Genomic DNA, 15,116 nt, shown 5'->3' on the forward strand with positions numbered 1-15,116 from the left:
ATAAAAAAATTAAATTAAATTAAAAAAACACTTAAAAAGTAAATAATCAAATAATTGGAAATTTTAAGGAAAATATAAGATGCTGACTGCCATATTTGATGCTGAATGTTTTTATTCCTGCAAAAATGCACATACAGTAGTGGAATACTTTTTAATGAACTGCATATTTCCTGGAAATGAATATAATTAATGAAACTAGTAATACTAATACTAATATTAATAAAACTATTAAGTAAAACAAAAGTATGGTTAAGCAAAGGAACCCAGAAAGAAACAAACAAAAGCAGGAATTAGCAAAAATCTATATGTGAAGAAAATCTTCATATGAAAGAGCAGAAATTTTTAATGTACAAACATTTTACATATATGTAATGGTAATGATTGCTCACATTTCAGACACACAAAATAAAAGCTATCTCTATGTTATGAATTTTCTGATATGATACATGGTTCTGAAACGCTCAAATTAATTATGACGAGATCAGGTAATATGTTAGAGTTGACCAGATAAGGTTCTTTTTGCCAAGCATGATATTGAATATTCAATCTCACCATCAGAAGCCCCTCACATTTTTAATTTACAGGTACTATGTGGTGTGCAGGACTTGAGTTAGAAGAGTAATGCATGTCTGCTAATTAAAATGTCAACATCTACCTGTGATAAAATGACTTTACTTCCTTCCTTTTTTCCTTCTATCCTTCCTTCTTTCCTTTTCTTCCTTCCCTTCTTTCTTTTGTTCTTTCTTTCATTTTATTTCTTACCTAATTTTTGTTCTTCAATGTTAAAAGAATGTGTTTACCTAAAAAGTGTGATGTTTTAAAGGTATTTCACATTAACATTTCATTCGCTCTCATGTAGACAACATTTCATACGTAATTTAGCTTCATGTTTCCTTGATCCACGTTCCCTTCTCTTGAATCCTAGCAGTGGTTATTCTCCACATCTTAGCTCTTGGAATGTTGTGTTCTCCCTTCATGGGTTACCTACTCTTACTATGTAAGCTTTTATTTTTACAGATTCCTTCAGAGTCTAAATCTCTACCATTTACTCCAGTTAATTTATCATTTGCATCATTTAGCTTTCTACTTGGTGAGTAACTCAACATCACTTATAACTCAATGTGTCAAGAACAAAAAGTATTGCTTTCCTCAAAAAACACATGTCTCCTGTGTTTCTATGTCGGTTGGTTATATCCTCCTTCTTCCAATAACTTCAGTGTGAAAACATAGAGTCGTATTTATTCATTACTTTCGTTTGGGCATCATATCTATTTGACTTCTGAAATATATATCTTATTGTCTTTCTTTTATCTCCATCTTAGTTCTCAAATTCCACCCTGGAATTTTATCTATGCACAATCAGATTTTGAAAAAAAAACCTCTTCGCTGATACTTTAGCCTACTTGCACTTTTTAATTCTTGACTCCGTGTCCACAATCATATTGTCTGCCATGCTCTGGAATTAGTTCAATTTTGTTCCATCCAAATCCTACTAATATCTTCCTCCTAATAACTTGCCTTAAAAATCTGACACTTAATGATGCTTGTATTTAATATTTTGTCTCTAACCTATATTCTTGAGTTGTTTGTTATTGTATGGCTGTAGTATATAGAATATTAAGTTGGAAAGACATTTTGACAAAAAAGTCCAGATCTTCTATTTTAAAGTTATGAACTCTGGACATGCCACATTTAATACTTGAAAGCTTCTTCAAGGAAGAACAAATGTGTCATTTCTCTGTATTCTGCTTTCCCCATAACCTGTACATTTAGTCCAGTGCAGGAAATCCACTAGGTACTAACCATTTCTGAGATACAAACTGATTAAGTGGCTTGATGAATTCTATCCTAACAACAAAATCATAAGTTTCTTGATGGCTGATGGCAGAACTGGTCATGCCCTGTAATTCCTCTATAATCTTGAATAGACCTAATTGAGTATAAAGAATACAGGAGGTAGTAACTTGTTTTATTTCACGTAATTCTTCTTTTATGTACGTAAATAAATGTGTATATATAAAAAAGTATTATATCTGTGATAAGATGAAGATTACTCTATGTTACTGACATAGAAATAAATCATTTACATGGCTGGTTAGTGATGAAGTCACATTTTAATGTAAGTCAGATACCAGAGGCCCCCAACTAGTTTTCATATTTTACTTCTTCTTCCCTATTTAGTAACAGTGCATAAATAATTAAATGTACTTCAGCTAGGTTGATTATGGAGCATGCATTTAAGTTATTTTTGATACCAAACTAATTTCATTGAATAGGTTCTAAGATAAAATCTATTCTTGTGTAAATCCCAATAAATAAAGCACTTATTTAACAAATATTTATTAAGTTCCTTATATGAGTCAGACACTAAGCCATTACTAAGAAATAACATGATAGTGGGTGTATAGGCGAGTGGTGTTTTCCTTCTTCTGATACGAAGCACAGAGGAGGTATTTGGCAAATTGGTGTCGGTTCTTTGAAAACAGGTAAGATTCTGAGACAAAAGTGTCCCACATATGTATAACTACATCAGCATTTTGTTGCTAGTAGGTAAGTTCCCATGCTGCAAAAACTTCAGGCTACTTCTTTATTAAAAAAAAAAAAAAAAGAAGAAGAGGAAAATACATTTATCTGCATCCCTGATGTCCTAAATCCTAGTGAGAGACTCATTCATTGTTTTTATGGCTTCGCTTTTAATATGGAAAACTCCTGGTATAATTTGCACATTAATTTGTATGAGTCCTCACATCTGCTGACTAGTTTATTTCTGAAATTTTCATGAATGCCAATCCAGTGTTTTCTTTGATATATATTGGATAGTTGACTAGACTAGACTGAGTAAGAGATTAGAATATGTTACTTTTGAGTCTGCTTTGTACTTTTGTTCTTTCACAGAAATCTTGTAACAAATGGCAAGGTGCAAAAATAATTTATTATAATAACAGTCACTTATGAGATGTTTACTTTGTGCTAGTCACTGTTTTACCAAATTCACACCTATAACTTTTAAATAGCATCAAACTCAATATTATGTGTACTAATATCATTTCTGTTTTACAGATGAGATTAAGTAGCTGATTTAAGATCACATAGTTTGGAAACGGCAGTGCCAATATTTGAAGAGATTCAATCTAGCTTTGGCATCTGTTTTTATAATCACCATATAATACTTCATCTCAAGAGTTTAGCAAAAGTTTTTGACTATTCATGTTATTCTCTACCGCATGACATTTGAACTTGATGCTAAGTACACACTGAGGACTACAGCTCACTGTTTTTGTTTTCATGGTGGAAAAAAAATGATGTAAATGCTTTGTGATGGACTAGCACACATAAGGGGATAAAAGTTTAACAATAAGTGTCATAATTCACATGTAATATTAGTACATTTCTGAAAAATATGTTTTATAATTTTTTTCTCATGAGAATAGAAAGAGAGAATGAAATAAATCTGAGTGTATGTAAGGCAGATTTATGCTCTTTACATTTCTTCCATGATCCGTTTTGTTTGTCAGTGAAATCCGTTGTTAAATTTCTTATCCGTTTCTGTACATTTCCTTATGTAATGACTTTTTTTTTTTTTTTTTGAGACGGAGTCTCGCTCTGTCGCCCAGGCTGGAGTGCAGTGGCATGATCTCAGCTCACTGCAAGCTCCGCCTCCTGGGTTCACGCCTTTCTCCTGCCTCAGCCTCCCGAGTAGCTGGGACTACAGGCGCCCGCCACCACGCCCGGCTAATTTTTTGTATTTTTAGTAGAGACGGGGTTTCACTGTGTTAGCCAAGATGGTCTCAATCTCCTGACCTCGGCCCACCTGGGCCTCCCAAAATGATCTGCCCGCCTTGGCCTCCCAAAATGCTGGGATTACAGGCGTGAGCCCCTGCGCCCAGCTGTAATCACTCTTTTATGTTTTCTCTCTGTTAACTCTAGAGGATATAGTATTTATTTGATTATTTTAACCACCACACAAAAACAAGAATAAACATTACGCTCAGTGTCAGAATTCAGGTATTGGGTGAGCAAATGTTTAAGCTAAAACATGAAATATAATAGAATTTCCTACGTAGAATAAGATAAATAAGTAGCAAGTATTTAAGATTCAGAAAAAAATGTATAAATATCCCTAGATTGGATATAAACCATTATATTAGGAGGGTGATGTCAGAAGGGGAAGTGAAAATAGATGAGGCTGAAGACATACACATGAATATAGGATCCTAAAAGTGTCTTTAATGGGGTGATACTTAATCCTAAATTCAATGTGAACCTCTTCAAGAGACTTGAGAATTAAGTGATCCAGTACACATACTATGATTACTTTAGATTCATCACATAACATTATTTCAAATGAGATAAATGTGAATTTAGTAAGATTGATAAGGGGGATCTTATAGAAAGCTAGGTGAAATTATGATAATCTGGACAATGCCTTGACTTTTAGAATGAAGAGCAATAAGATAATTTAGAGAATGGCAGGGGATGACAATAAGATTTGGTGACAAATTGAAAGTGTGAATAAGAGAGAGGAAGGTGTCATGTGTGGCACTGTGAGTTGGTAGCTGGGTATGGTGGCATCCTTCATTAGAATAGAGAATGCAGAATGGAAAGTAGGTTTAGGAATTTTTAATTTGAGACACTTGTGAAGATGTTTGGCATATGAGCAGAGATGTGGTGAGCCGAGATGAAAACTGGTTATCATATCTGTGTCAGATACATAGATTTCTGAATACTAAATGTAAGGTGATGCTAGCAAATATGGTACCAAAGAAGAATGTTTGAGTAAATGGCAAGGTAATGATACTGAGTAAATCAGTTTTATGAGAAGAGAAGGCAATGAACAGGTGTTTTCTGAGGTGGCTAAAAAGGAACAGCTATAGAGGAAGAATTAAAACTAGCAGTCTGGGAGAACAAAAACCAAGAAAAATGTTTCAGAGATCAAATGTATTTACCCTAGAGAAAAAAAAAAGTAAAACTCTGGTTGATTTGGTGATGTTAAGAAGTTGTCTTCACCAGTTCAAATCATATTATATAGGAAAAATCCAAATATATTTTGGTGCTATAAAAAATGTATTTTTGTTTTTTGATTTCATTTTGGTTATTGTTTTTGTTTTTTGCTGTATGTTGAAACAAAGCAAACTCCTGCCACTTATTTTCAAAGCTAATGTCTTTACAGCTTGAACTTTGCAACATCTGGCAACATTCTAGAAAATTAAATGAAGAAATAGTTAATAAAAATTTATAAATAATTTTTCCCTTTTCCTTTATGGGTTCAATCTACATGTTTTTTCCATGTATGGGCTCAAATAATGCACTTTCTTAGCTGAACATTACCACCTAAAGGACATTTTTCCTGGAATTCTCAAGATGGGCTATGCTTGCGTACTCAACTCTCCCAGAGCAATCTTTGCTTCAATCTCTTAAAATTATCTTTTATTTTCTTTCTACTAAATTTTCAATTATAACGTATGGAGCTTCAATAAATGTGGAACTAAATTTGTATTTATATGCATTCTAAAACTGAGATCGGCTCTTCTGAACTATAAGAAAAAAATGATTTTTGCCGAACAAGAATTCTGCTATGAACAAACAAGTGATATAAAATGAGAACTTTCTTCATCCTTCACATGCAGAATAATAGGGCAAGGAAGCCAGGCTATAGGCACTATCTAGAGATTCTCTTTTGTTCTTTGGGGTAGTATTAGGCTTCTATGGGGGATTGCTTCTCTTGGTACTTATATAATTATTTCCTTAATGCAACTCTTGAATTTTCTCTTTTTGATTTAAGAGTACAGAATTCTTCTTGTGAATGTTTCCTTAGAGAAAGTTTCTGACAGCTCTAAGACTCATTTATTATCTCTTTCTCTCCTGTGTAAGAAATTTTCTCAGCAGTTGAAAGTTGTGAAATCTCCAAAATAAAGAAGGCTTCCCCCTTTCTAAATTCCTGTCATCACTCTTGTTTCCCTATAAACTGTTTATTCATTTATTCATTTATTTTTTTTCTAAAATTGCTCTATGAATCTTCAGTTTCAACAAGAAGAAAATAGAATTGTCTCATGTCAAAATTTAGGTGATTACTAAGTAAGAGCTTTTATTAATGGAAACTAACTAATATAATAGAGCAATGTATATTGCAAATTCTGCAAATTGTTTATTTGAGTTAAATTTAAAGACCATTTATAGTCTGGACCAGATGTACCATGTTCATTATATTTTTAACTATTTTAGCATAATGGGGGGAAATTACTTGATTAGACCCTCTCTTGAAAGGTTTGTAGTTATAAAATTGTATGCCATAATACTTATTTTATTATATTGGCTTCAAAATAATGAATATACACCAATTCACAGTTATGAAAGATAAAATTTGTTTTTCATTAAAACTTTACTAATATTTACCCATGGAGACTTGAAATCAGGGACCCCAATGATAGGACTTAGAAAAATAGACTTCAAACCCCTTTCTATGTTTTATAAGATGATTATGGGCCCATGTTTTAAAAACTTCTCTGCTTTGAGATAATTATAGTTTCACATGCAGTAAAAATAGTACACAGAGACCCCAAATCTGGTATACTCTTCTCCTAGTGCCCCAGAATGATAACGTCTGGTAACCAGAGTATACTACCACGATCAGGAAATTGACATTAAGTGAGTCCTAATAGACTTATTCAGACTTCTCATTTTACATGCACTTCTGAGTGTGTTTATGGAATTTCTGTGTAATTTTATTACATGTATAGATTTATGAGATCTGTACCACAGTTAAGACAGAGAATTTTTCCATCAAAAGGATTTTGCTATGCTTTTGTAGCCGCAGCCAATTATCCTCCCTCTCCAGTTTCCTAGCCCCAGGGTGAACCAGTTTCAAAACTGATTTGATTCTAAATGTCCCTGCTTGCTTGCTTTGTCTCACCTTTTTTCCTTTATTTCTTTCTTCCGTCTTTCCTTACTTCCTGTCTTTTCCTTTCTTTCTTTAATTCAAAGTGTCCTGCTCATTTTGGTTCTAAACTGGGGAAAGCTATATTGTTTCCCCTGTTTATACAGTTTTGGTCCTTTGTTCTGATCCACAACTGTCTTGATGAATGCCTGGCATTTGCAATTTATATTTCATTTAATTAGATTGAAGTTATAGAGACATAGTTATTTATAAGTGCATATTTTATATTGGGAAGGAATGGGGGAGGTTGTGAAAATACATAATAAAATAATGAATTATACTTTAAAACTTGCATGGAGAAATCTGCATTTTTTCTATCAAACCGTAAAGTGAGAGAAGTGAAAAAGAGAATTGCTGATTTGTAGTTTACAAACAATCCTAGGAATGTCAAGCAACAAATTAGACCACAATAAAATAAGTACTCATATACATTACTGATGGTAGTGCATACTACTTTAACCACTTTGGAGAATACTTTTGTAGTACGCGCAATCAAGCATTAAAATTTGATTTATTTATTTTTAACTTTTATTTTTGGTTCAGGGAAACATGTGCAGGTTTATTATATCAGTAAACTGTGTGTTGCAGGGGCTTAGTGTACAGATTATTTCATCACCTAGGTAATAAGCGTAGTACCTCATAGGCAGTTTTTCGACTCCCACCTTCCTCCGTCCTTCCACCCTCAATTAGCCCCAGTGTCTGCTGTTCCCTTTTTTGTGTCCATCCGTAATCAGTGTTTAGATCCCACTTATAACTAAGAACCTGTGGTATTTGTTTTTCTGTTCCTGTGTTCATTCGCTTAGAATAATGGTCTCCAGCTCCATCCACATTGCTGCAAGGAACACAATATACTTCTTTTATGAAAGCATAGCATTCCATGGTGTATATGCATCACATTTTCTTTATCCAGTCTACCATACATGGGCATTTAGGTTGACTCAATGTCTTTGCTGTTGTGAATGGTGCTGTGATCAACCTACAGGTCCATGTGTCTTTATGGTAGGATGATTTATATTCATCTGGGTATATACTGTATATGGGGGTTGATGGGTCGAATGGTAATTCTGCTTTGAGTTATCTGAGAAATTGCCAAACTGCTTTCCACAGTGGCTGAACTAATTTACGTTCATCAGCAGTGTATGAGCATTCCCTTTTCTGTGCAACTTTACCAGCATCTGTTATTTTATGACTTTTTAATAAAAGCCATTCTGACTCGTATGAGATAGTATCTCATTGTGGTTTTGATTTGATTTCTCTAATGATTAGTGATTTTGAGTATTTTTCATTTGCTTGAAGGCCATGTGTATGTCTTCTTTGGAAAAAAGTGCATGTTCATATCCTTTGCCCACTTTTTAATGGGATAGTTTCTTTTCTGCTTATAAATTTAAGTTCCTCATAGTTTCTGGATATTAAACCTTTGTCATGCATAGTTTGAAAATATTTTCTTCAATTCTGTAGTTGTCTGTTTACTCTGGGGATAGCTTCTTTTACTGAACGGAAGCTCTTTAATTTAATTGGGTTGTATTTGTCAATTTTTGTTTCTGTTGCAATTGTTTTTGGAGTCTTTGTCATGAAATTTTTGCCAGCTTCTATATCAGGAATAGTATTTTCTAGGTTATCATCTAGGGTTTTTATAGTTTGAAGTCATACATCTAAGTCTTTATCTTGAGTTTTTTTTTGTATATATGTAAAGAAGGGGTCCAGTTTCAATCTTCTGCATATGGTTATACAGTTATACCAGCACCATTTATTGAATAGGGAGTCATTTCCTCATTGCTTGTTTTTGTTGACTTTGTCAAAGATCAGATATTTTTAGGTGTGCAGTTTCACTTGCGTCCCTGTGAAGAGGCCACCAAACAGGCTTTGTGTGAGCAACAAGGCTGTTTGTTTCACCTGGGTGCAGGGCTGTGTCCGAAAAGAGAGTCAGTGAAGGGAGATAGGGGTGGGGCTGTTTTATAGGGTTTGGGTAGGTAAAGGAAAAAGGGGGGTTGTTCTCTGGCAGGCAGGAGTGGGGGTCACAAGGTGCTCAGTAGGGGAGCTTTTGAGCCAGGATGAGCCAGGAGAAGGAATCTCACAAGATAATGCCATCAGTTAAGGCAAGAACAGGCCATTTTCATTTCTTTTGTGGTGGAATGTCATCAGTTAAGGCAGGAACCGGCCATCTGGATGTGGATGTGCAGGTCACAGGGGATATGATGGCTTAGCTTGGGCTCGGAGGCCTGACATTCCTGTCTTCTTATATTAATGAGAAAAATAAAACGAAATAGTGGTAAAGTGTTGGGATGGCGAAAATTTGGGGGGATAGTATGGAGAGATAATGGGCGATGTTTCTCAGGGCTGCTTTGAGCGGGATTAGGGGTAGCATGGGAACCTAGAGTGGGAGAGATTAAGCTGAGGGAAGATTTTGTGGTAAGGGGTGACATTGTGGGACTGTTAGAAGAAATATTTGTCATTTAGAATTATTGGTGATGGCCTGGATACGGTTTTGTATGTATTGAAAAACTAAAGGGAATAAGAGAAGGAGAAAAACAGGTATTAAAGGACTAAGAATTGGGAGGACTTAGGACATCTAATTAGAGAGTGCCTAAGGAGGTTCAGCATAGCCTTGCCAGCAAAGATTATTTATTTACTTTAAGAGTTAAGAGTGGCAGTCTGGGGATAGCACCAGGAGATATCAGCTGTGATGGCTTGGAGAAACGGTGTAAACCGGCAGTGTAAACAAGAGCAGGGCATATATGAGTAGTCGAGAACGGTGAATAGGAGTATGACTAGACAGAAGATAGTAGGGATGACAAGTTTTTGGGGCACAGTCCAAGTTGGTCTGATGTCTGGAATGAGACTGGGGCTTAATAAAATGGAGCGTCCATACAGGAGCTCAAATGGGCTGTACCCTGTAGCATTCTGAGGACAGGCCTAAATTCTGAGAAAAGAAAGAGGTAAAAGTACTGTCTAGTCCTTTTTAAGTTGGTGACTGAGCTTGGTGAGGTGTGTTTTTAAAAGACCATTAGTCCATTCTACCTTTCCTGAAGACTGAGGACTGTAAGGGATATAAAGGTTTCACTGAATACCAAGAGCCTGAAAAACTGCTTGGCTGATTTGATGAATAAAGGCCGGTCTACTATTGGACTGCCTAGAGGTGGGAAGGCCAAACCGAGTAATTTTGACTGACAGAAGGGAAGAAGTGACCGTGGTGGCCTTCTTAGACCCTGTGGGAAAGGCCTGTACCTATCCAGTGAAAGTGTCTACCTAGACCAAGAGGTATTTTAGTTTCCTGACTCGGGGCATGTTGAGTAAAGCTAATTTGCCAGTCCTGGGTGGGGGCAAATCCCTGAGCTTGATGTGTAGGGAAGGGAGGGGGCCTGAATAATCCCTGAGAAGTAGCAGAATAGCAGATGGAACACTGAGAAGTGATTTCCTTGAGGATAGATTTCCATGATGGAAAGGAAATGAGAGGTTCTAAGAGGCAGGCTAGTGGCTTGTACTATATCATAGCCTGCCTTTGCTGGCATGTGGCGATTAGGCCTGGTGGAACTGCCATCAATAAACCAGGTGTGATCAGGGTGAGAAACAGGGAAGAAGGAAATGTGGGGAAATGGGGTGAACGTCAGGTGGATCAGAGAGATGCAGTCATGAGGGTCAAGTGTGGTATCAGGAATAATGTGAGAGGCCACATTGAAGTCCGAGCCAGGAACAATGGTAATTGTGGGAGACTCAACAAAGAGTGAGTACAGCTGAAGGAGCCAGGGAGCAGAAAGTATACGTGTCAGGTGTGAGGAAGAAAATAGATTTCGGAAATTATGAGAGCTGTAGAGAGTGAGTTGAGCATATTTTGTGATTTTAAGGGCCTCTAAAAGTATTAGGGCGGCAGCAGCCGCTGCATGGAGACATGATGGCCAGCCTAAAACAGTAAGGTCAAGTTATTTGGACAAAAAGGCTACAGGACGTGATCCCGGTCCTTGTGTAAGAATTCCGACTTCACAGCCCTGCCCTTCGGCTGTGTGTAATGAAAAGGGTTGGGATGAGTCAGGGAGAGCTAGGATGGGGGCAGCCTCTAAAGCTGTCTTCAAGGAATGGAAAGAGGAGTGGGGAAAGGATTTAGGATCTATGGGGTCAGCTAGGTTTCCTTTTGTGAGTTTATATAATGGTTTTGTTAGGATGGCAAAACCAGGTATCCAAACGTGAAAGTATCCAACCATGCCCAGGAAGGAAAGGAGTTGTTGTTTTGTAGAAGGGATTGGGGTTTGGGAGATTAGCTGGACACGATCAGCAGGGAGAGTGCATGTGTTTTTCTGAGAATTATGCTGAGATAGGTAACAGATGAGGAAGAAATTTGGGCTTGACTGAAGTAATGGGGGCTATCTGTGAAGCTTTGCAGCAGTAAAGCCTAGGTAATTTGCTGAGCTTGATGGGTGTCAGGGTCAGTCCAGGTGAAAGCAAAGAGAGGCTGGGATGAAGGGTGCAAAGGAATAGTAAAGAAAGCATGTTTCAGATCCAGAACAGAATAATGGATTGTGGAGGGAGTTATCAAGTATAGGAGAGTATATGGGTTTAGCACCATGGGGTGGATAGGCAAAACAATTTGGTTGATAAGGCATAGATCCTGAACTAACTTGTAAGGCTTGTCTGGTTTTAGGACAGGTAAAATGGGGGAATTGTAAGGAGAGTTTATAGGCTTTAAAAGGCCACGCTGTAGCAGGCGAGTGATAACAGGCTTTAATCCTTTCAAAGCATGCTGTGGGATGCGATATTGGCATTAAGCAGGGCAAGGGTGATTAGGTTTTAATGAGATGGTAAGGGGTGCATGATTGGTCACCAAGGAGGGAGTAGAGATATCTTATACTTGTGGGTTAAGGTGGGGGGATGCAAGAGGAGGAAGCAAAGGAGGCTTTGGATTGGGAAGAAGGGCGGCAATGAGATGTAGCTGTACTCCAGGAATAGTCAGGGAAGCAGATAATTTAGTTAAAGTGTCTCAGCCTAATAAGGAAACTGGGCAGGTGGGGATAACTAAAAAGGAGTGCTTAAAAGAGTATTGTCTAAGTTGACACCAGATTTGGGGAGTTTTAGGAGGTTTAGCAGCCTGGCTGTCAATACCCACAACAGTTATGGAGGCAAGGGAAACAGGCCCTTGAAAAGAAAGTAATGTGGAGTAGGTAGCCTCCGTATTGATTCAGAAGGGGACGGACTTACCCTCCACCGTGAGAGTTACCTAAAGCTCGGCGTCCGTGATGGTCTACAGGGCTTCCGAGGCAATCGGGCAGTGTCAGTCTTCAGCCGCTAAGCCAAGAAGATCTGGGAAGGAGTCAGCAGAGAGCCTTGGGCCAGAGTTCCAGGGGCTCTGGGAGTGGCTGCCAGGTGAGTTGAACAGTCTGATTTCCACTGGGGTCCCCCACAGATGGGACACAGCTTAGGAGGAATCCCGGGCTGCAGGCATTCCTTGGCTTGGTGGCCAGATTTCTGGCACTTGTAGCAAGCTCCTGGGGGAGGAGGTTCTGGAGGAACACCTGGCCACTGCGGTTTAGGTGTTTGGAAGTTCTTGTGTGCTGGAGATGTGGCTGGGGTTTGTCTCACAGTGGAGGCAAGGAATTGCAACTCAGAAATATGTTGCTACTTGGCTGCCTCTACTCTATTATTGTACACCTTGAAGGCGAGGTTAATTAAGTCCTGTTGTGGGGTTTGAGGGCTGGAATTTAATTTTTGGAGTTTTATTTAATATCGGGAGCAGATTGGGTAATAAAATGTATATTGAGAATAAGACGGCCTTTTGACCTTTTAGGGTCTAGGGCTGTAAAGCATCTCAGGGTTGCTGCCAAACGAGTCATGAACTGGGCTGGATTTTTATATTTGATGAAAAAGAGCCTAAATGCTATCTGATTTGGGATAAAGAAAAAGGACCACTAACTTTGACTATGCCTTTAACTCCAGCCAACTTTTTAAGAGTAAATTGCTGGGCAGGTTGGGGAGGGCCAGTCAGGGAATGAAACTGTAAGCCAGACCTGGTGTGAGGAGGGGAGGTGATAAAAGGATTATAGGGTGGAGGAGTGGAGGCTGAGGAAGAATTGGGACCTAGCTCAGCCTGGTGAGGAGCAGCCTGGGGAGGAGGGGAGAGGTCAGATGGGTCTGTAGAAAAGGAAGATTAGAAAGACTCAGTGATGCTTGGGGTTGGGACTGAGGAGACAGGTGGGAGGGAAAGAAGGAAGATTTGGGACGAGTTGCATTGGGAACAGAGACTAGGGAGGGACCGATGTATAAAAGAATGCCTGGATGTCAGGCACCTCAGACCATTTGGCCATTTTTTGACAAGAATTATTTAGATCTTGTAGGATGGAAAAATTGAAAGTGCCATTTTCCGGCTATTTGGAACTACTGTCGAGTTTGTATTGGGGTCAAGCGGCATTGCAAAAGAAAATAAGATGCTTAGATTTTAGGTCAGGTGAGAATTGAAGAGGTTTTAAGTTCTTAAGAACACAGGCTAAGGGAGAAGAAGGAGGAATGGAAGGTGGAAGCTTGTGCATAGTGAAGGAGGCAAGCCCAGAGAAAAGAGAGTAGAGACACAGAGAAGGGGTGGGGGGTTCTTGCCCTCCAGAAAAGCAGAGAAGGGGTCAGGGCGTGGAAATATGGGGTTGGGGCACAGAGATAAGAGGTTGGGGCATGGAAATAAGGGATCGGGGTGCAGAGATATTAGGTCGGGATTCCTGCCCCTCCTCCAGAAAAGCGGGACTTGCCACTAAGGGTGAAAGAGAAGGTGTTGAAGGGTTCTTGCCCCTCCCCCAGAAAAGCAGGACTTGCCGCTAAGGGTGAAGGACCAAGACAGGCGTCCCTGCGTGGTCTGACACCTCTGAAACCTGGGTGAATAATCAGAGAGGTGTCCCTGCAATGATTAAACACCAAGGGAAGGCTGCCTTCCCTAGTCCATGACCAGCGCCAGAGTTTTGGGTCCACGGATAAAATGTGCCTCCTTTGTCTCTACCAGAAAATGAAAGGAATTGAAATTAAGAGAAGGGAGAGATTGAAGTGTGGCACCAAGATTGAAAGGAGATAGAGGTTGAGGGATAGTGAGGGAGGTTGGAGAAGAGAGTAAAAAGAGGCTGCTTACCAGATTTAAAATTGGTGAGATCTTGCTTGGGCTGCTTGGTCTGAGGACCAGAAGTCATAGGTGGCTCTCTCTCACGGAGCAAAGAGCAGGAGGACAGGGGATTGATCTCCTAAGGGAGCTTGCCCGATCTGAGTCATGGCACCAAATTTCACTCACATCCATGTGAAAAGACCACCAAACAAGCTTTGTGTGAGCAACAAGGCTGTTTATTTCACCTGGGTGCAGGTGGGCTGAGTCCAAAAAGAGAGTCAGCGAAGGGAGACGGGGTGGAGCCATTCTATAGGATTTGGGTAGGTAAAGGAAAGGGGGGTAGTTCTCTGGCAGGCAGGAGTGGGGGTCACAAGGTGCTTAGTAGGGGAGCTTTTGAGCCAGGATGAGCCAGGAGAAGGAATTTCACAAGATAATGCCATCAGTTAAGGCAGGAACAGGCCATTTTCATTTCTTTTGTGGTGGAATGTCATCAGTTAAGGCAGGAACTGGCCATCTGGATGTGTACATGCAGGTCACAGGGGATATGATGGCTTAGCTTGGGCTGAGAGGCCTGACATGCAGCATTATTATTTCTGAGTTCTCTACTCTGTTCCCTTGGTCTATGTGTCTGTGTTTGCACTAGTACCATGCTGTTTTGGTCACTGTAACTTTGTAGTGTAGTTTGAAGTCAGATAATGTGTCTTTTTCTTTTTGCTTAGGATTGTCACGGCTATTCATTCTTTTTTTAAAATTTTGGTTCCATATGAATTTTAAAATAGTTTTTGTTGTAGTTCTGTAAAAAATGTCATTGGTAGTTTGATAGGAATACCAAACTGAATATTCAATTTAGTTTGATTGAATCTGTAAATCGCTTTGAGCAGTATGGCCATTTTAACAATACTGATTCTTTCTATACGTGAGCATGGAATGTTTTTCCATTTGTTTGTGTCCTCTCTATTTCTTTAAGTAGCGTTTTGTAATTAGCATTGTAGAGATCTTTCATCTCCACTGTTAGCTGTATTCCTAGGGATTTTATTCTTTTTGTGGCTACTATGAATGGAATTGTGTTCTTGCTTTGGCTCTCAGTTTGAATGTTGTTGCTGTAGGGGAGGGCTACTG

The sequence above is a fragment of the Homo sapiens genome, chromosome 3 (assembly GCF_000001405.40).
Source record: "Homo sapiens chromosome 3, GRCh38.p14 Primary Assembly".
Taxonomy (NCBI): Eukaryota; Metazoa; Chordata; class Mammalia; order Primates; family Hominidae; genus Homo; species Homo sapiens.